This window comes from Homo sapiens, chromosome 9 (assembly GCF_000001405.40).
Source record: "Homo sapiens chromosome 9, GRCh38.p14 Primary Assembly".
Taxonomy (NCBI): Eukaryota; Metazoa; Chordata; class Mammalia; order Primates; family Hominidae; genus Homo; species Homo sapiens.
In genome coordinates, this window is record NC_000009.12 from 101,612,575 (window position 1) to 101,636,121 (window position 23,547).

General features: G+C 38.2%; 1 protein-coding gene across 2 annotated transcripts in view; it reads right to left on the reverse strand.

Annotated features, from left to right (window-relative positions):
* Positions 1-23,547, reverse strand: part of GRIN3A (glutamate ionotropic receptor NMDA type subunit 3A) — a 169,296-nt gene that overhangs the window by 43,223 nt on the left and 102,526 nt on the right. For both annotated transcript variants that reach the window (NM_133445.3, XM_011518211.3), the window contains exons 4-6: positions 15,682-15,827; positions 10,744-10,859; positions 802-953 (exon numbers count right to left, since the gene is read on the reverse strand). In NM_133445.3, coding sequence (NP_597702.2) covers positions 802-953; positions 10,744-10,859; positions 15,682-15,827 — 414 coding nt within the window. The remainder of the gene's footprint in view (positions 1-801; positions 954-10,743; positions 10,860-15,681; positions 15,828-23,547) is intronic.

A 23,547-nucleotide genomic window follows, 5' to 3' on the forward strand; every position in this document is an offset into this window, starting at 1 on the left:
TATTATTCACTTTAGGTGGGTTTGTTTTTTTTTTAAATTGTCAGGCTGACCTTGTTCAGGTATATTTGGCTCCTCTTTTAAATATCTGAGCCTGTGACTCTGGTTATACCTTCCAGTCTCCAATTTTAATCATCCAATTTCTGCCTTATTTTATAGGTTTCTTTCTAATTACATTGTAAAGTCAGTGTACTGCAATAGAAAGAGATTCTGATTATTTGTGTGCCTTAGGGAAACCACTGATTATCTCTGGGTATTCTTTTCCTAACTATAAAAGAAGGGAATTGATTGTTTTCAGTTTCAAAAATCCATGACTCTGTAATCTAAGAAGTACTCGCTAAGGTATGTCTATTTTTCTACATCCACAAAGGCTTTATCTTTAGGTGGTAACCACTGGTAAGTTAGCAATGTTTTGATTAGATTTTGCAGGATATTTTGAAGTACACATCATGTCCATCAATTAACGATTAAATCAAACACTGTTCATGTCAATCTCAGATACTATTGCTGTAATTCAGAACAGCATTTCTTCTGCACTTGTGGATAGAGGTTATGGGGAAAAGTAGAAATTTAGATATTTACTCATCAAAATAGCATCACATTTAAATCTAAGACAAACCCACATCCCTGTAAATTCCTATAGGAATGGACGCTTTTTGGACAAAGTAAAAAATAATCCAAATATTATGCAAGAGTCTAGTAAATGCAATAACCTAGATGATGAGGCACAAGTAATAGCATTTCCTTATGTTCTCTGAGGTACAGCTATACAACGTGTCACCATTTTCAACAGTCTTTCCATACCTCCGTGACAGCAAAACTTCTCTTGCCACAGGGAACCACCCTGTACCACTTGTCATGGAGCATATCCATAAACCCATGTGACTTGTATTGACTGATTAGCTCGGATATGTTGGCGGTCAATGGAGAGTTGGGTGGGAGGCCAATGCCGTATCCTAGAAGAAAATACAATCTCAGATGAGTTTTTTACACCCTTCCTGAGAGATTGCCACCACAGTACATATTTGTGTGATACTGCCATCAGACCAAAAAAAGGGCGTGATGAGTTTTCATCAACTTTCTTTCAAAGCACTCAAAGACATTCCTAGTCATGATTACCCTTAAATCAGCTGCATCTCTGAGTAGATGAATTGAGTTGGAAAAGGAGAGGAATGGGCTGTGCACAGTGCATTAGTGAAAAATTTTAAGATCTTCTGCCTTTCCCATTAAGACATTCCTTAGAGGCAATCTTTGAGGTCTTTATCAGGGCTAGGATTTCCTATCTACCTCTTCCAGAACCCCTCTTCTGAACCTTAAATATACAAAATCAGATTAATCTTAGTCTGTGGTTGATGACATTCTCTTATCGGTGTTAATGCATGACCCTCTCTTACTTTTTAAATTTATTTTTAATTTTTGAATAATATAATAAAACCATGTGAATAAACAATACAGTATGAGAACTAAAATATAAACAGGAACTTATAAAAATCAACTTAAATTGTCCAAAAATAAATAAATAAGAAGTAATACTAAGTGTTAAAGAAGATGAGGATCAATAAGATTATTTATATATTGCTTGCTGTAATATAAACTGAAAATTGATACAAACATTTTGGAAAGCAGTTTGGTATTATTTTATATGGTTGAATATTGACATATTTTAAGACCAGCAATTCTGTTCCTGAGTCCATTCCCAAAGATCTCCGCCACAAGCATATCAGGAGATACGTACAAAAATGTTCTTAGAGGAACTGTTCATAATAGCAAAAATTGGAAACAACCCAAATGTTCTTTGACAAGAGAATGAGTAATGAAACTGTGGACTATTTGCACAGATGGAATATTACATAATCAAAACTATATGAACTAGAACTAGAGGCAACAATATGGATGATCCTTAGTAATATGCCATTGAATGAAAAAGGTCAGTGTCAGAAGATTACTTGCAGCATGAATTCATTGTGTAAATATTAAAACATTCAAAACCAAACAATATAGTTTTAGGAATACATATATATGCATATATATGTGATACTTTTTTTTTTTTTTTTTTTTTTTTTTTGGAGACAGGGTCTTGCTCTGTTGCCCAGGCTGGAGTGCCATGGTGCCATCATGGCTCACTGCAACCTTGACCTCCTGGGCTCAAGTGATCCTCCCGGCTCAGCCCCCCAAGTAGCTGGAACCACAGGCACACACCACCACCCTGGCTAATTTTTGTATTTTTTGTTGAGATAGGGTCTCACCGTGTTGCCCAGGCTGGTCTTGAACTCCTGGAGTCAACCAGTCCACTCACCTCAGCCTCTCAAAGTGATGGGATTACAGGTATGAGCCACGTGCCCAGCCTGTGATAATACTTATTATTTTTAACAAAACCAAGGATAAAATAAATGAAAGGGTGGTGGTAATGCAGGGCAAGGGAGGCAGGGGAAGGAATGAGGGAGGAACATAAAAATGGAGTTAATTTGTTGTCAGAGTTTTATTAGTCAGCTTAGACTCTGTATCCTCACACTGTGTGGCTTTACTTGCTTTCCAAAATGTTACTATACTGTTAATCTCTTTGCTCAGCCATGTCAAAGAAGCTAATTAGCTACATTTTGTTTTAGCTATTGGACAGAATAGTAAAAAAAAAAACCCAAACCCTTTTTTTTTTTGCCTTCAACATGATTGAGGAAGAGTGATTAAAAATATAGTTCATTTTTCATGGATAAAGACTAAAAGATTGTCAAGCATCCAAAGATACTTAATGGAAACAAATACCTCCTATAATTATTCTAGCTTACAATTCAATTTCAAGAGCACTGATTTTTGTTCCTTTTTTTTTTTTTTTTTTTTGAGACAGAGTCTCGATCTCGGCTCACTGCAAGCTCCGCCTCCTGGGTTCACGCCATTCTCCCGCCTCAGCCTCTTGAGTGGCTGGGACTACAGGCGCCCGCCACCACACCCAGCTAATTTTTTGTATTTTTAGTAGAGATGGGGTTTCACCGTGTTAGCCAGATGGTCTCGATTTCCTGACCTCGTGATCCACCTGCCTCGGCCTCCCAAATTGCTGGGATTACAGGCATGAACCACTGCGCCCGGCCTATTTATTCAATCTTTAAGTCTCCAAGTGATACACATTCTGGCGTGGTTTCATGTAGGGATTCATGCAGAATAGTGCTTGGGGCACAGTAGAGCCCAGTATGTCCTAGTACTTATTATTAGAATCCAAGGATGATTTAACCAAGCTGTGTGCCACAATCTGTTGCTGTTGTTGAAAACTATTGACCCAGGGAGGAAAAACACATTGATATTCGGCAAACCTGGCTAATTATCCTAACCATCAACCCACTCCTACCAGATAGTAGCAAGTCCTCCTACACTTTGTTCTTATATGGCCCAGTTCTCCCTTATGGTGCCTATCTCAGTTGTAATGAAATAATAATTATGCTGTGTCTTGTTTAATATCTGTTTCCCCTGTAGAGTATACATTCCATTACAGCAGAGACCATATCCACCTTGGTCACTGCTAAGTCCTGACCACTTAACATGGTGCCTATTTACTCAGGGAATATTTGTTGCATGAATGAGTGAGTGAATGAATAAATGAATGTGTGAGTGAGTCAGTGAATCAGTGACTATTATACGCTTGTGCCTAGTATTGTGCATGATGTGCAAATAAGTCCTGAATAAGTGTTTGTGCAGTTGAATTGGCAACAGCATTCATTATGTTTCTAAAGAAAGCTGATTACTTCCTTCTAATAAATTACCCATTATATTTTAAAATGTTATTTAATAATAACATCAGCAGAATCAAAAGCTACCCATCCAAACTCTTTTGTTTTCAGTCCTGCCTTTCAAACCAAAACTTCTAGGCATAAAACAGGCACTCAAAATAGCTCTTTGAATGGAAAATTCTAATCATGCTTTTGACGTTGTCATCATTTTCTTGACTTCCTATTGTTAAGCAACAAATAATGTTATTAGAAAAAAATACAATCCATTAAAACTCAGTTTTTTATGCGTTATTTCATCTCTTTTATTGGTTATACACACATCTCAAGCCTTTTTCTTTTAAAGAAAAAGATTGTGTATCTGCATTAAAAAAGGTATTCTCACTTATAGGTGGGAGTTGAACAATGAGATCACATGGACACAGGAAGGGGAATATCACACTCTGGGGACTGTGGTGGGGTGGGGGGAGGGGGGAGGGATAGCATTGGGAGATATACCTAATGCTAGATGACGAGTTAGTGGGTGCAGTGCACCAGCACGGCACATGTATACATATGAAACTAACCTGCACAATGTGCACATGTACCCTAAAACTTAAAGTATAAAAAAAAAAAAAAAAAAAAGGAACAAAAGGGCCGGGCGCAGTGGCTCACGCCAGTAATCTCGGCACTTTGGGAGGCCAAGGTGGCCGGATCACGAGATCAGGAGATGGAGACCATCCTGACTAACACGGTGAAACCCCGTCTCTACTAAAAATACAAAAAATTAGCCGGGCGTGGTGGCGGGCGCCTGTAGTCGCAGCTACTCGGGAGGCTGAGGCAGGAGAATGGCGTGAACCCGGGAAGCGGAGCTTGCAGTGAGCCGAGATTGCGCCACTGCAGTCCGCAGTCCGGCATGGGCGACAGAGCGAGACTCCGTCTAAAAAAAAAAAAAAAAAAAAAGAAAATTCAAAGGAACAAGAGATTGGTACCAGAGGAGAGGATGAAAGATGGCATCTTGAATTGGTTCTTGATTGTGATATTTTTGGTAGATAAGACAAAAGTATATGATAAGAAAGTTTTAAATTCTTAACTTCATACTTATGATAAATCTACATATTCTAAGAATAGAATTTTGGCACTACAACAAAAGTGTTAAGATTCCCTAATGAAAAAGCTATGTTGAAGTTTCAGAGACATTTATAAAAAATGTTACACAAGAAATAATAAATATTAAATCACTCCACTCGATCATGTCTAGGTTAATTTGCAGTTGCTAAAAACAGATTACTATCCCTTTAAAATTTCTGTTTAAATACATGTATTGAATATTGATATTTTATTTTATTTTATTTTATTTATTTATTTTGTGTGTGTGTGTGTGTTTTTCTTTTATTATTATACTTAAAGTTTTAGGGTACATGTGCACATTGTGCAGGTTAGTTACATATGTAGACATGTGCCACGCTGGTGCGCTGCACCCACTACTCGTCATCTAGCATTAGGTATATCTCCCAATGTTATCCCTCCCCCCTCCCCCAACCCCACAACAGTCCCCAGAGTGTGATGTTCCCCTTCCTGTGTCCATGTGATCTCATTGTTCAATTCCCACCTATGAGTGAGAATATGCGGTGTTTGGTTTTTTGTTCTTGCAATAGTTTACTGAGAATGATGATTTCCAATTTCATCCATGTCCCTACAAAGGACATGAACTCATCATTTTTTATGGCTGCATAGTATTCCATGGTGTATATGTGCCACATTTAAATCAATTCAAGATGGATTAAAGACTTAAACATTAGACCTAAAACCATAAAAACCCTAGAAGAAAACCTAGGCAATACCATTCAGGACATAGGCATGGGCAAGGACTTCATGTCTAAAACACCAAAAGCAATGGCAACAAAAGACAAAATTGACAAATGGGATCTAATTAAACTAAAGAGCTTCTGTACAGCAAAAGAAACTACCATCAGAGTGACAGAGTGAACAGGCAACCTACAAAATGGGAGAAAATTTTTGCAACCTACTCATCTGACAAAGGGCTAATATCCAGCATCTACAATGAACTCAAACAAATTTACAAGAAAAAAACAAACAACCCCATCAAAAAGTGGGCAAAGGACATGAACAGACACTTCTGAAAAGAAGACATTTATGCAGCCAAAAAACACATGAAAAAATGCTCACCATCACTGGCCATCAGAGAAATGCAAATCAAAACCACAATGACATACCATCTCACACCAGTTAGAATGGCAATCATTAAAAAGTCAGGAAACAACAGGTGCTGGAGAGGATGTGGAGAAATAGGAACACTTTTATATTGATATTTTAATGATTTCTAGCAATAATAATCATTTTTAGCTAATGAAAACAAACTATGCATATGGAATGATGGGAAAAATAGGAAAATAAATTATGTGATGATGAGAAGACTTATTTGTTAAAAGAGATAAAAATCCATTTTATTCAAAAACATAAAATAAAACCTTGAGGGTTTTATTTCTGTCCCCATTTATAGTTGCTTTTCAAATTTGCTAGTGTTCATTGGTCAAAGAATTCTCATTTTTAAATTGCTGACTCAACTGAGCAGCCTGAGTTGCTTTCATTATTACTAGAAATGTGGCTTTGCAATAAAGACAGGGTTGACTATTTTGTGGTTGATGAATGAAGCAAAATGGAATCCTTCAACTCTAAAGATGAAGGCATCAGGCATCCTGGAAATTGGATACAGCTTAATGGCCCAAGAGAACAGTTTTCAGAATAGAATCCTGATCTTTTCACCATGGATAAATCAGCTTTATTAAGCTAAGAGTGGTGGAAATATATTTTAGCTAGCAAATGTATAGTTAGAAATTCATAGACTAAAAGAATCTTCCGAAATGTGGTTGGAAAAGAGATGTTTTGAAAATAGCATCTCAGATAGGGTTAAAAAGGCTTCAGGGTGAAAGATTTATTCAATTTTGCAGTCTGTCCTTGGAATACCATATTTAGCTACTCTGGGATAATGGTTGAGAACATATTGTAATGGTCCCAACTATAAAGGTACTATAAAATGGGTTTCCCTTAGCCTCAGCATATCAAAGTGGGGAGAGAAATGTGTGGGAGAAGTTGAGACTTAGGAAGACTATCCTGGAAGAATTTTACAGTTAATTGGTCTCAATGCATTAATCAATATACTATATAATAATAATTTGTTGAGCACTTCTTATGTGCCAAACAAGTTCCTACAGTACATGCTTTATATGTATTACTTAATCCTCACAACAATTCTATCATAAATTTCCTATTCATCTCCCCATTATGCAGGTGAGGAACCTGAAGAGTAGATTAGATAACTTGCCAGTTAATAACAGCAATTTTATCCTAACCCAAGTACTCAGACTCCAGAGCCAGTGTTCCAAGCATTGCATTAAATAATTATTGGAAAGCAAGTAAAAGAACAAACTCATAAACAGGCAAAGGTCTTTGGCAGAAAGATCACACATCATTATTGTGCAGTTACGTTACTCTTTCTCCTTGTTTGAGCTTTATTGTCAGCTAACTCCAATGCACAAATTGGAGACACGTATTCATTTATCTCAACACTTTTTTTTCTCCCCTGCACACAATATGTATTTGTGCCCCTGGTTTATGGTTTTTAATTCGACCAAAGACTTTCCACATGCTTTCGCATCCTTAATAGTTTTGGTTTGCTTTGCTATATACTGCGTACCGATGAGTACTCATGAAAGGGTTTCAAACTCAGTGTGGAGCCACTGTCCCTTATTTGCCTTATTTTTCCCTTTTAAGTCAAAATAAATGCAGAATGGTGAAGTTTGGAGGGATAGTTAATAGTTATCTTAGTCTGCTCAGGCTTCTATAACAAAATATCATAGACTGGGAGACTTAAAAACAAAAGAAATTGGTTTCTTATAGGTCTGGAGGCTGGGAAGTCCAAGATCAGGGCAATGGTAGATTTGGTGCCTGGTGAGGGCCTGCTTTCTGGTTCATAGATGGTGCCATGTAGCTAGGTCCTCACATGCTGAAAAGGGTGAATGAGCTTCGTTGAGCCTATTTCGTAGGGGCACTAATTCCATTTTATTAGGGTGGAAACTTCATGACCTAATACCATCACCCTGGGGATTAGGTTTCAACATATGAATCTGGGGGGAGGCACAAACATTCAGACCACAGCAGTAGTTACACTGAGTGTCACACATAGAGTACTGAGTGTGTTACTACTATATGCAGTGACAGTACATTCAGCATGAAGGAATCATTGCACTCTGTTTTCTCTCCTAAGTACATTTAAACATTTGGGAAAGTATAAGTACAAGCTATTAACTACCTAAGTGAGTGAATTAGGTACCTATTTCAAACCTAATTAGTTATTTAATAGGTAATACATCACTTATTACATTAATGTTATATGCCTAGCATTGTACTAGGCCCTGTGAAAGGTTATGGGTAGGCATATAAAACATTCCTGTAAACTAAATGACCAAGTATTGCTCATACACCGCTTTGATGATTTTTTATACCTATACAGTCTAACTTAATAATAAAGCTCACATTTTAAAAAGTTCAAGAAACTTAAATGTTGTCAAAGGATAGCATATATTTTTAACAATTTGAGAGAAATATTTTCTCAAAAATTCATGAAATTATTTCTCTCAATTAAATTGTTAAAAATATATGCTATCCTCTAATAACATTTAAGTTTCTTGAACTTATTAAAATGTGAGCTTTATTATTTAGACTGTAGGTGGCTCACGCCTGTAATCCCAGCACTTTGGGAGGCCGAGGTGGGAGGATCACTTGAGGCCAGGAGTTTGAGACCAGCCTGGCCAACATGGTGAAATCCTGTCTCTACTAAAACTACAAAAATTAGCGGGGTGTGGTGGTGGGCACCTGTAATCCCAGCTACCCGGGAGGCTGAGGCATGAGAATCGCTTGAACCTGGGAGGCAGAGGTTGCAGTGAGCTGAGATTGAGCCACTGCACTCCAGCCTGGATGATAGAGTGAGACTCAGTCTCAAAAAAAAAAAAAACAATTTGTGAAATTCATATTTTTAAGAAAAGTAGCAATCAAGACTTTGACTAGTATTTCTACCACATTGTTTCGTGTAATTTATACGTATCCTTTTGTATTTTACTGAGTTATGTTTTTGGGGTATGAACTTATTGTCAGAAGTAGAATTGAATTAATTTTCTGATGTGTACCCCATCCATTTGGAGAATAACCTCACAATGATAACAATATTCTCTCAATTAAAACCTGCAGTATTTCTACTCTCTTGCAGGGAGGGCTTTTCCATGCACCATTTTGTGCTCATCTCCTTTGAAAACAATGTGATGTCTAGAGATGTTGGGAACTGCAAGACACTAAGTCTCAGGAACACAGATGGAAATGTAAACAGGAAACCAGTGGGGAGTTAATTGCGTGGCATCTGGCACTAGGGTCCAGCAGAGGCAAACAAGCCATCCTACCACTGTCTTTTGACAAGATAGAGTTGTCCCCTGAAGATAAAGGTGGAAAATGGAGCCCCTCATTCTTGTGTCCTCTACCCATGATTCATTGTTAGTAGCTCCTAATGGCAGAAGGGATCTCAGTTACCCAGTGCATCTAGGACAGAAATAAAATGTAACATCCCCAGATGCCACAAAAAAGGAGAAATTTTTCATTGTTACATTAAAATGGGATTATATACTGAATGTTGTTTATTTTTCTAGCTTTTTCTTTTTCTCCCTTTGCTATCTAAGACGGTAGTCTTAATAGAAGACCACTACTGCTAATTGCCTCTCTTTCTGAGTTCCATCCCTGCTTCAGGTGGGGGTGACTTTGCCTGGAGAGGGGACTGATTTCTGCTAGGAGAAGATGTGGAGAAATAGCATCAGCTGTAACATTCTCATTTATCATGAAAACAAAGACAGAGGTAAACATTTTAATCTGCTGATATATTTAGAGGAGACAGAGACTAACTGTGGTTGGGAAATTGAAATCAGAATAGTCTTGATATCCTAGTTAACATACAGGAAAGTTCAGATTTCTGGAAATAGCAGTTGGGCACCCCCACGGGATTGTTTTAAGCCAAAGTGTTTTCTGTCAAGTGAGCATGGCTGTCTCGAGAGCCAGCATGCACTATCAGGAAGGGAAGCTGGGAATTGGGAGAAGTGAAATTTGCTGGTTCAAACTATCAGCTCCATATATCAACCGTCATTCAGAATGAAAGGAGCTACCGACAAAGCAATCTTTCTTTGGTTCTGAAGTTTGATTGATTGGGAGATCACATTAGAAGGAAAAATTTGCTGCCAGTGGAGAAAAAGACCTGAGATCCCAAACAAGGATCCCAAGGTTTTGTTTGGGACCTTAAAGGGCATTAAACTATAGAATGAGTTTTTTTTTCTACTTATTTTCCAACCAGTGGAATAATACTTATTTAAGAACCAGGAGCTTTAGATTTCAGTCCCAGTATTATCATCTAATTGTACAATTATGAAAATGTTATGTAATGTCCCTGGGCTTTCTTGTTTATCAAATGAGTAGATTGCATTAGATCAATATTGGGGCCCTCCCAGTTGTAAAATGTAATCATTCTAGTTTTTCTGTCAGATTTGCTAGAGTATTTGGCTGTTAGAAAATACAGATTTCCCTGAATTTTGGAAGGCTGAGGCAGGAGGATCACTTGAGGCCAGGAGTTGGAGACAAGCTTGGGCAACATAGCACATAGCAACACCCTGCCACTAAACACACACACACACACACACACACACAATACAGATTAAATTAAAATTTATTACACTGTGCCACCACTCCCAGATATCTGAAACAACATCATATGGGTAACAATGATTTTTCCCCCTAAAAATTGGATAAGTAAATATTTGTTGAATAGGTGAAAAATAAATTCCTAACTTCAGCAACTTAATAGCTAAGTGCTTATGAGTTGAAAATGAAAACGAGGGAAGATGAATAGCTCTTTGCTTCTGACTTTGGCATTTGTGACTTTCTAGGTTGGCAAACTGAGCACATCCTGAGTAAAAGTGAATCAAGAGTGACTGATTAATACCTTCTATGGCAAATGGCTTCCCCACAGTGAGAAGTTTGCAGTCAGCATCTATTGACACTTCATAATCCAGAAGGGCTTTGTCCATGATGAAGGCGTCTAGTTTCTCTGGATCATTCCTATATTTAAGACCAGAGGAGAAAAGTGAAAATGATTCATTAATGGGAAGGAAGCATGAAGGCTGACAGCCGGCTTTTGTTTAGGGGACAGAACCCGAACACTAAGGGCCGCACAAGCTACCTAGGTGCTGACTTAGCTGTCTTGGCTTCTCACTGATGTCTAGACTACAGACCAGGGGAGACAGGCACTCTTATAAGACAGCATGACATCTTTCCAATGAGTTTATCTACCAGCTCCTTTAATTACTTCTAAATCCATCAGTAAAGCCAGAGCCACTCTGAATTGAATAGGAAGCGCATAGAGAATGTTTATTCTTATTACACTGTTAGAGGGACTTCTTGTTGTTAGGCATTGCATTCATTGTTCTCTATACCTTTTATCACTCAGAATGACTGTGATATAACAGATGAGGAAATTGAGGCTCAGAGGATTGAAGTAACTTAAACCAGGTTACACAGCTAGTAAGTGTTGGGACTAGGTTCAGATGAAGGGTGAGTCTCAGCATAGGCTGAGCTTCCACCTACAAAGAGGGCAAGGAAGGAGAAGTTTTAAAAGGAAATAACTGTCTAAAATACATGCAACGATTTCTTTGTTTTCAGCCACTTCCAATTCTTTTTGGAAAGGTGAAAGACATACATCCATTTAAGAAAGGATTTTCTATGAGGAACAGTTTCAGAAAAGCTCTTAGTCTAATTTGCTTTTATTGTGACTATGTCCTGAGCCCATCCCTGGATATTGTTACCATGGAAATGGACTATCATTCCTTTTTTAAAAATTTTTTTTATTTTTTTATTTTATTATTATTATACTTTAAGTTTTAGGGTACATGTGCACAATGTGCAGGTTAGTTACATATGTATACATGTGCCATGCTGGTGTGCTGCACCCATTAACTCGTCATTTAGCATTAGGTATATCTCCTAATGCTATCCTTCCCCCCTCCCCCCACCCCACAACAGTCCCCAGAGTGTGATGTTCCCCTTCCTGTGTCCATGTGTTCTCATTGTTCAGTTCCCACCTATGAGTGAGAAGATGTGGTGTTTGGTTTTTTGTCCTTGCGATAGTTTACTGAGAATGATGATTTCCAATTTCATCCATGTCCCTACAGAGGACATGAACTCATCATTTTTTATGGCTGCATAGTATTCCATGGTGTATATGTGCCACATTTTCTTAATCCAGTCTATCGTTGTTGGACATTTGGGTTGGTTCCAAGTCTTTGCTATTGTGAATAGTGCCACAATAAACATACATGTGCATGTGTCTTTATAGCAGCATGATTTATAGTTCTTTGGGTATATACCCAGTAATGGGATGGCTGGGTCAAATGGTATTTCTAGTTCTAGATCCCTGAGGAATGGCCACACTGACTTCCACAATGGTTGGACTAGTAATGCAAATCAAAACCACAATGAGATACCATCTCACAGCAGTTAGAATGGCAATCATTAAAAAGTCTGGACTATCATTCTTATTGGCTAGGTGGTGTCACCTGGAGCCAGGGGTGGGGTTCACCTCATATAAATCAGTGAGAGTAGAAGAGGGATGAAGAAATGCAGGATGCTGTGACCAAAAAGAGGGAATGGATTCTGTGAAGACCAGAAAAGCAACCATTTTGTGCACTATATTATCTCCCCAGTTAAAGTGTAAGTTTCTTGGGAACCAGAACTCTGTATTACACTTCTTTCTATCTCATGCGATGACTACCTCAGTTCCTTTTTATTGTGTAGGTGTAGGTATTTATTTTTTAAAAATAAAAATATTTATTAATTTGAAAAAAAAGAAAGGATTTTCTACCCTTAGAGTTGTCCAAACAGCTTTGCAAAAAGAATAACTCTTTTCTATCCCTTCTGGGCTCAGTCCTTCCTCTCTTAGATCCAGTGGTGAGGCTGTTCTAATTTAACACAGTGTGGCTTCTAAACAGAGGAGAATATGACTAGAATTCATAGAAAATCAAAAAGAGAAAGATATCCCTAGACACCCAGAAGATTCATCAGGGCAGGAAACACATCCTTACACGAATGGCTTTGTCTGGGTCATGTATAGACACATAGTTGGCAGGTCAGCTTCCCTTTTTGGTACCAATGACCGTTGCTTTCTTATCCTACTCTTCAAATAAGTGAAATAACCAATTTAAAATGCATCCCCTTTTCAAAGGGGTATCAGATTTAAGTTACAATGAGGCCCAAATTTAACTTTAACCAAAATGAAGCATCTCCCAGCTCTACAGTAATGGGAAGCTTTAGAAAGTGTTGGGGATGTGGATTGTCTCCTAGAAGTTGATAAGGAATCTTAATGGAATCCTGGCAATAAAATAAAAATTGAGCTGAAAGCTGTTTCTCCAATCAAAGTTCGACTGCCACAGTACCATAATGTACCTTGACAGCTACGTAGCAACAAGTTATCACTTGCCAATATTCCACAAATATTTGTGGTAGCAATATGACAATAAAAAAGATGAGGTTCATTTCAGTTTTTTAAAACCAGTAATTCATGAAGCCTAATGTCTCTGGGATCCTTCCTTAAATAACTACTCTTGATTTTGGACTGCAAAGTGCAGATAGCTATGATAAATTTCAGTTACGTGAAAAGGCGAAAAGCAGTCAGCTCTCAGACTCCATTGGGACCCTGAGTCACTGGTGAGGAAATGGCCAAGTGGGATCCAGTTACAAGTAGCTTCTAGATTGGCTGAATCACTGTTGTGGTTCACAGGGCCCCCAATGGTTATTTCTATTATAGAATCATGCCCTGTCTTTTCTTAAGCATTATTTAAAAATACATATCACACATCACAAGAAAACCAGTCACATATTAACATAATAAAAGGAATAAGCATTTTAGTAGGAGTTAATTTTTTGGAAAACTGTTAATGAGAAAGCAGGGCCCTGAGAGAGCAGAATTAAGTCCAGGAGAATTTTGATGGGAGAGGGAAAGGACAGGTTCAATATGTAGAAAAGTTCCTTGCACAGGCAATGCTAGGGGTTGTGCCTTGTAGGTCAGAGCTCTGGGATGCCAGGGAGGTAACATGAAGACTGTGGTTGCGGGAAGTGGTGGCTGAGGGCACAGGAAATGACTAGGCTGAAAGTGGAGAGTTAAGGCCCAGAGAGAAGTGGTGAGAGGGCATTAATGATAAGCTCTGCCTAGATGCCAATTTCACCTCAATCAGTGAATTGCCTGGGGAGCTTGTTAAAATGAAGATTCTGATGCAGTAAGTTTGGGATGAGGCTGGAGTTGCTGCATTTCTAACTAGCTTTCAGATACTAACTGCAACATAGATGTTGCTGGAACATGGACTATTCTGCAAACATCAAGGACCTACTCTTTCATCATCGTTCCCAGACTAGTCTGAAGCAGCAGTTGGATTCCAGAGACCTGGTCCTAGTCCTGACTCTGCCACTTGCTAGTTTATTACCAAGGAAAATTGACTTGTCTTGGGCCTTCATCTGTGGCCGCTTTCCTGAAGATTGCTTCCCTTCAGGCTAGGGCAGGGCCAGTGCTGGGCACGTGGGCCTTCTCAGGTAAAGCTCCTGAGATACGTGAATGCCCTGAGTGGAGTGGAACTGCTGGGGACTGCAGCAGTAGCTCATCTCATCCTTTTTCACACTGTCAGCAGAGCCTAGTTTGTCTGCTATTTCTATTGAGCTGGAAGCCATTGCTACCCTGACATCTTATTCTTTCTCTCAACCATAAATTCGCCTGAAGAAGAGAATACACAAGAAGATCTGGGAGGTAAAGGGACTCTAAACTTCATGTCAGAGAGAGACTGTAATGTGTTGATGTTCTTGCAAAATTAAAAGTGGCATTTCATAATACTTACACATCATGTATAATTTTGCAAATATGAGAGAACAAGGCTTTTTCTCTAAGCTATAGTTAAAAGTCCATAAAATTTTTTAAGTGGCATGTTTCTAAAGTTGTTGAGAAAGACAAAACCCTTATGTTCCATGAAATTATTTATTTATTTCTATTCTTTCTTAAAAAAGAATTTGAGGTGGCAGATCCTGCTGTCCATTGGGGAGATTATTGATGCTGACCATGGAGAAACCAGTTTCCTGATGCTGCACAATTCTAGGAATTGGAGGTGTGGATGTCTGTTATTATCTTGATTCCATCGAGCAGGAGGGAGAGGACTACTCACCCTCATGTCTTCCTGTTTTTCAGGAACCATTCTTTCCCTTTTCTCAGGAAGACTAGACAGAACAGACCCATCACTGCACTGTCTGCCTTTGTATTCAACTTCATTGAATTACAGGCTCTGATAATCTGCCATGGCAGTGTGATTTCTCATGATTGCTTCTCATAAATTCTGATGAGAAGAATGCAGGCATGGGAATCATTGTCTTCTATCTTATTTCCTTTCTACAGGAAATCTCTAAGATAAACTCCATTTCCTCATGGCAAGAGGAGGCATTCCATGGGTTTAGAGATATATTCACTGGGAAGGAAAACGTTGCCTTGGGACACTTTATCCTCTGGCCATATTCCCTGTGTGTTTGACTATTTCAGCACCATTGTATTCTCAAGTGATGTAAAGCCAACATTTACTTCCTCCACCATCTGCTATGCTAATGGCCCCACTGACTCTTTGAACAAAGCTACTACCAACTTGAGACTATGCAGGTCACAAGTAATCTAGGTCACATAATTAAATACACACTATTTCACACCATCTCCTGGGATCTCACACAGTGTAAAGTATTACTTAACACAACGTGGGTATATTCATCTGTCATTTTCAGAAACTAACATATACTGCGTCAGTAGCTAAATTACTTCTCTTCAGTGAGAATTTTTCTTTGGATCCAAGAGGTTGACACTCACTTCAGATACTCCACTCCATCAGGGGTGGCTGGAACATTGTACCTTCTCATATATTCATGCATCTCTGGGAAACTTTGTCTCACATAATCTTCAGCACTGCTTTCTCGGACAGTTCCAAAGCGGAATCCTTGGGAAGGATGATGTAACTATGAGGGAGAAAAAGAAATGGCTTAAATAAAAATTATTCTTAGAAGTGTTTTTTAACATTTTTTTCATAATTCTTTGAAACTTAATAATAATTCGGAACTTTTCTAACCCCCACAGGCAGAAACATGTACATAGAAATGTGCAGACATGGCTACATGCTTTTTACATCAGAAATTGCTCTATCTTTAGAAGCAAACAGATGGAAACGACAAACAAAAAATACAAAACAATTTTTTTTGCTTTATATTGGAACCTATTAGAATTCTTTAGAAGCCATGCAAATTGGCATGTAGAATTAGTCTCATTATTGTAAACTGCATATCAGACAAAGTGTACATTCATAATAAAGATTATGATACTCCTTGGTTAGAATAACATAAAGGCCAAGTTAAAACCTTACATCCTGAGATTACAATAAACCTGCGCTAATGCTGTGACTACATCACTTTTGTGTTTAGCCACCTTTAGGCTATATTACATTTTGTTTATTGAATTTATTTTTAGTGTTTTCATAAAATGTTCTCATCTAGGAGGGAGATAATACAGAGTATTTTTTTTAATAATTAGGTTTTTAAGTTGTTTACCCTAAAAATGATTAAGAACTCACTGAATATGGTGACAAATAACATATATTTGAAGATGAATTAGTTTTGACACACAGTAAAGGTGTAACAATAAGGTAATAGTTAAATAAATTATATGGTATATTCTTATAGAGTGTAATGCAACATATAAATCATGTTTGTAAAGTATGTTTCATAAAACAAGGCAAATGCTCATATGGCAAGTGGAAAAAAGCTTTCATATGGTATGATCAAAACAAAACATGTATACATTTATTTAAATGCCATGATTTCCCATATATATTATACACACACACACATACGCACATGCACACACACCTTGGAAGAAAACACATTGGTGTTGAATTTACAGATGTATTTTTTATTTACAGATTATCTGCAGAAACACTTACCATGTTTACAAGTATAAAAAATATTTTAAAATCAGCAAAATCGTTCATTTATTCAACACTTATTGAAGGCCTACTCTGTAGAGTTCTCAAAGTTACTAGGGTGACAAAGATAAATACCTGCAACCACTGCCATATAGGAACTCTTAAAACCTGTTGTTCATTGTATTTCTTTGGTATTCCACTGTTAAGTAAGTAATATAGCTTGCTCTAAGTTTAATGTAATTGTTCCATGCACTGAACAAATTCTAATGTTTTATGCCAGCATAACCTTAATGCCACATCAACAATAATAACAATACTTAACATTTATTAAACACTTATTATGCGCCAAACAAGATACTTAGAGCTTTACATACATTATCGTGCTGAATCCTCATAATAGCTTCGTGAAGAGGGCACTGTTGTTACTTCCTCTTAGGGATGAGTAAACTGAAGCTCAGAGAAGTGAAGTAATGGGCATAAGGTCATGCAGTTGTAAGTAGCAGGGACTGGCTCAGAACCCATGTCTATCTTATTTCAAAGCATGTGCTATTATCTACTACATCATCTTGCATTCTAGCTCATGACAACAACTGAAGCGATGATGTTTATTAGGAGGAACTCACCAGGCTTTTAAAAATATTATCCTTATGCCTTGAACCCCCGGGGCTGTTCTCATAGTAGCAAATTGCAGTCGTATGGCTTGCGCAAGGCACATTTATCAGCATTGTCTGTCCAACATCTATTAATTTTTCAAGACCTAGGTCAAATTTTTCTATGTAAAGTCTTTTGTCTTGTGTAGCTTCACCCTCCTACCCAGAACAACAACAATGAAAAAACTACTTATTTATCTGTGCTGATATAGTATCTTGTACATATAAAATATGTAGGCAAAGACCTAGGTGAAAATTTTCTATGTGAAGCCTTTGGTCTTGTCTAGCTTCACCCTCCTACCCAAAACAACAACAATAGAGAAACATAACTACTTATTTATCTGTGCTGATATAGTAGCTTGTACATATAAAATATGTAGGCAAATATTTATTTAAGTAATCTTTGACCTTTCCGTGCATTATCTCCTTTGATCCTACCAAGAAATGTGAGGTAGATATGTCTATCATCTTTTTACATAAAGAAACTGAAGATTAGAAAGTGTGTCATTTGTCCAAGGTCACAGAGCTAGTAATTGTACCTGGGATTGGAATTCAGCCTGATCAAAGACATTCAGCTTTTGACAACTGTGTAACATTGCTTCTGATACTATATCATACTGACTCCCTCTGTCTGGATTTGCTACTTGTATGCCAGACGGTAAGCTAAGGGCTTTTAAAATTTTCACAATAATCTTACAAGATAGATGTTATTTTCTTATTTTGCAGATTAAAACACTGAGGCTTGGATAGTTAAAGTAACACCAACTTCTCACAACTAGGAATTAACAAGCTTCAGCCCATCCTATTTTCTGTAACTTGCAGACCAACTTTCATTTGTTTGTGTAATACAGTTACCTATCACGACCTTTGGCACCTTGCAGGTAGTCTATATCTGTTTGTCAAGTTAATTCATTTTATCTAGTCTATTTTTCTATCCTGCTTTATCCATTTAACTTATATGCATTCTTCTGCTCTCAGTTCAGTAATTACTTCCCTAACTTATTGTGTAGGCCAGATTCTTTTTTCGTAAGCCCTTACAGTACATATACCTATCTTTTGTAGAATCTATCACAGTTGCAGTTTTAAATTTAATTATGTAATCATGTGATTAGCGTCTAGACTCTCAGTTTCTTCACTAACTGGAAGCTCCATGTAAACAAGAATAATGTTAATTTTAATTTATCCTTGTATTTCTAATGCCTTTCATTTTGTAGTTGCTCAAGAAAATACTTGATGAGTAATTAATTGATAACTGTTCTTTGAACTTAGAGGAAGGTGACAGCTTTGTCATCTCACTTAGCACAAACTAAGCTAACAGTATAGCTTACAACTCAAGCTTTCTAAACAAACCCTCTCTTTAAGGTAAAAGGGCTGTAGAATCATTAATTAAAATACCTTTCTCTCATATAGAAACAGAATTCCTTCCAGAAATACATTCTTTACATTATGTTGTGATAATACTTTTATGGTCTATGACCAGGATTTTTAGGGAAATCCTGCTTTTCTGGGTCTCATTTTCTTTTCTGAATGCACCAGCACATCGTTCCTTTCCAAAGCATGGAAGGAATCAGGGAACCAGCAGACCCAGGCTCAGAATTCTGCTGGAGGACTGTCTCTTTGTGTTTTTCCTTTGCATGACTTTCTGTTGTATTTGCTCATCAGCTCCCATATCTGTCTTATTGGCTCTGTGAAGGCAAAGGTTCTGAGGTTCTGAGAATTGAAAGTTCCTTCAAGGATTAGCAAATAAGCAGACTCCAGGAGAGAAAGCATCTTATTAGCCTGACAGGGACCTCACTCTAACATGGAGATGTTTTGCAAACACTGCCACTGCTCTTATTTGAGTCACCATCATTTCTGTCATCCACATATTCCCTTTCTTCCTTTCTGATCCACTCAGAGAAATTTTAGAATTCAGATCTGATCATGTCCCTCACTTGCTTAATGCCCATCAATGGCTCCCCCATGGCCCTTGGGATGAAGTCCAAACTCCTCACATGGCCTCTAAGGTTCAGCATGTTTGGCTCCTGCCTTCCTTTTCCTAGCCTTGTCGTCCTGCTCTCCCCCTGGCCTTCCAAGCTTTGGCCAGTTCTCTCATTTCCAAAACAAACATTTTGCTTGGTCAGAGCTCTTGCATATAGTCTTCAGTCGGCCTGGGACACTTTTTCCTCATCCCTACTTCTTTGTCTAGCTAACTCTTAAATGTCACTTCCTGAGGAAAACCTTCACTGACCCCTAGACCTGTAACACCCTCCCATTATACCTACAGTTTCACATAGCACTGACAACACTTGGGATTATTTTTATAATTTGCCTTCCCTGCTAGATTGTAAGTTTCCATGAGGATGGTGCCCATAGTGATCTCATTCATGTGGTTGTAAGTCTTCAACAAATGTTAGCTGCTATTATTATTATCATTGTTATGCAACAAGCACAGGGCTTAGCACATAGTATATGCTTGATAAATAATGACATAATAAATGAATTGTCATCATTATTAAGAGAATGAATGAAATTCTCTTAGGTTAGATACATTAAAAATTTGGTGGTTTTTATCACACCTCCTGCTGTCTTTTTTCTCCTTAAAACTAATTTTTTCCTTTGTTACTTTAATTCATTCAAAATGATATATTCTTCTTTCTTTCTCTGTGTGAGATTATATTGAAAAATAACCATGGGCTACTCAGCAGTCACAGAATAATAGAATCAGAAAAGGGATCTAAGAAGCTATTGATGCAACCCAGTGGGCCAGGATGGTCTACCCTGTGTGTAATTCAGACAGCCAGGGATGTCAGAAAGCCTGCATCAAGGAAAAAGGATAAAAGTGTACAAACAGCTTAAGCATTTGAGCTGCATTACAACCATCACCAAGAAGTCCCAGTGAGAGAAGCATTTCTTTAAAGTTTCAGCTAAATACCTCACCAGCTCTTCCGATTCTGTTTATATTTGCATCAACCTTTTTAGGCCTTGGGGAAATATCTAAGGTTAAACTGTCTATTTGTATGTGAATTGTTCAGTATTAATGGAATACTGACCTCTACACAGAGTACCTACATGGAGAATAATCAGACATTCCCGAGAAAGCAGAGAAATGGCTCAAAACAAAATGAGGCGAACTCGGGAAATAATCAAGTTGCTATATCCAAGGTAGATGTAATGTTGCAGATTAAAAAATAATCCCAGTGCTGAGTATACTCATTTAAGGTCTTCATCTGTACCCATCTGAGATTAGTACTTAATTCATCAGTGAAATGTAGTCACTGGACCTGGTATTATGTTCTTTGGAGTTGGGTGGAAAGGGCTATTCCTAACTTGCCTAGTGGAATAGGATATAGTATGTATTGAATTCCCAGCTCCCTTCTACTGCATTACTTTATCCACTTATAACCTGTGGATGCTATAGTATCAAGTGGTCTCAGGGATGGAAGGGGCTTTGCAAGTCTAATCATCCACTAATGTCTGAGTCATCAGTGGACGATTAGCAGGGGTCCCAAACCCCTGGGCCATGGACAGGTAATGGTCCGTGGTCTGGTGGAACCAGGTGACACAGCCATGGGCAAGTGAGCATTATGGCCTGAGCTCTGCCTCCTGTAAGGTCAGCAGCGGCATGATATTCTCATAGGAGCATGAACCCTATTGTGAACTGCAAATGTGAGAGATCTAGGTTGCACATCCCTTACAAGAATCTAATGATAAATGTAATATACTTGGATTATCTCCAAACCATTACCACCCACCCCCAACCCATCCATGAAAAAATTGTCCACAAAATCGGTCCCTGGTGCCAAAAAGGTTGGGGACTGCTGCTTTATAGCAAGGTTAAATGTACTGACTAAGGTTTCTTCAAAATGTAGATTCCAATTCAGTAGGTCTAGGTGGAAGCTTAAGACTCTGCACCAACAAACTGCTAATTGATGCAAATGTCATGGTTTATGGACCAGGCTTTGAGTAGCAAGATTTTACTTATAATATTCCTATGAAGTGCCTGTTACGCTGTTACTTCTCTGCTTGATCATCTCCAGTGACAAGAAAATTACTCCTCCTGGCCGGGCATGGTGGTTTACGCCTGTAATCCCAGCACTTTGGGAGGCCGAGGCGGGTGGATCACGAGGTCAGGAGATCGAGACCATCCTGGCTAACACGGTGAAACCCTGTCTCTACTAAAAATACAAAAAGTTAGTTGGGAATGGTGGCGGGTGCCTGTAGTCCCAGGTATTCGGGAGGCTGAGGCAGGGGAATGGCGTGAACCCGGGAGGCGGAGCTTGCAGTGAGCCGAGATCGCGCCACTGCACTCCAGCCTGGGTGACAGAGTGAGACTCCGTCTCAAAAAAAAAAAAAAAAAAAAGAAAATTACTCCTTTTGAGGCATAGCTTCTGTAAATGAAAGGTGACTTTTGTCTCCACACAACCAATTGATTCTATCTGAATATATAATAATAATAAAATAACAGCTAATATTTTATAATATTTATTATATGCTAATAAATTCATATCTAATGAGATTGCTACTTTTATTATTTATTATTACATATGAGGAGCTGTGATTCGGGGAGATTAAACACCTTGTCTAAGATGATCAGAAAGTGATAAAGTTGGATTTAAAACCAACCCTGACTTGAAGTTCTTAACATACCCTTATCTAGCACTACATTCTGCATTTATAGACTTGTATTATTGTCCAAGTCTTGTGAAAATCCAACTAATATATACCTATCCAACTAATAAATACCAATTAATATATACCTATTTGTGCTGCAACTTCAGAATCAATTTATTATAGTTGTGATCATATAATTTATAGTGCAAACTGGGACAGTTCTCTAAAAGGGGGACACTATTGATGATCACACAAGGACAAAAGACACACTCGGACTATCCTGGAAAACAAGTATGTATGTTTACCCTAGTTATTACTCATGCTCTGAATATTAGAATACAGAAAAACAATGCCAAAAAGAATGTTGCTGAGGTCCACCCTGTATTTTTTCTAATGTGAATTACTAAGTACATCTTATGCTGCAGTTCTTTTTCATGTTATTCCTATTTTCTTCCACAGAAGCTGCTTCCTCCATTTAAATTTAAGCAGTTTGCTGCCTCTCCCTTCTTCTTTCTGAAGCCGTCTACGTTAGGTCAGCTAATCTCTAGTCAACAACATTCTTTGACATCATGTTTGATTTATATGAGCCTTAGCCTAGGTTCTTCTGACAACTTGAGTCATTGCATCAAGTCTCTTGTAGGGACTAGAGGTCAGCAAATTACGGTCTATGGGCCAAATCTAGCCTGCTACCAGTTTTTGTCAATCAAGTTTTATGGGAACACAGCCATGCCCATTCATTTATGTATTGTCTATGGCTGTTTTTGCACTACAACAGTAGAGGTGAGTAAGTACAAAAGAAAACATATGGCCCACAAAACCTAAAATCTTTACCACCTGGCCCAAACAGGAAATGTTTGCTGTCCCCTGATATAGACAATTTGAATCTAACTAGCTTCTTGACTCCCATATTTCAAATTTTTCTCTCTATTCTAAAATCCTAAAGAAAGAGTCATCTTTGCAGGTAAATAAACAGAGGTAAGGTTTAATAAATGTCAGCAGGCTTCCTGGCACTGTCCAGATTTAGGCTGTAGTGTGATGACACACCTTATTTCTAGCTGCATTGGAGTATCAGTCTCCCTACTGGAGGTCTTGACTACTGCAGCTCTTTGCTTCTTTTTAGGACTAGAAATAGGAAGACTCTGGTCACAAAATTTCAAACTGAAGCAACAGTATGACATTTGGACTGATTTTAGATTCTATCCCAGGGACAGATGCTTTTGGAGCAGACCCCGTAAGGCTGAGGTTATAAAAATTGGCCAGTGGCCCACCTACTCACTTTATTTATTTGTTTGTTTATTTATTTTTGAGATGGAGTCTCACTCTGTCGCCCAGGCTGGAGTGCACGATCTCAGCTCAGTGCAACCTCCGTCTCCTGGATTATCATGCCCCAGCCTCCCAAGTAGCTGGGATTATAGGCATGCACTACCATGCCCAGCTATTTTTGTGTGTGTGTGTTTTTAGAAGAGAAGAGGTTTCACCATGTTGACCAGGCTGGTCTTGAACTCCTGACCTCAAATG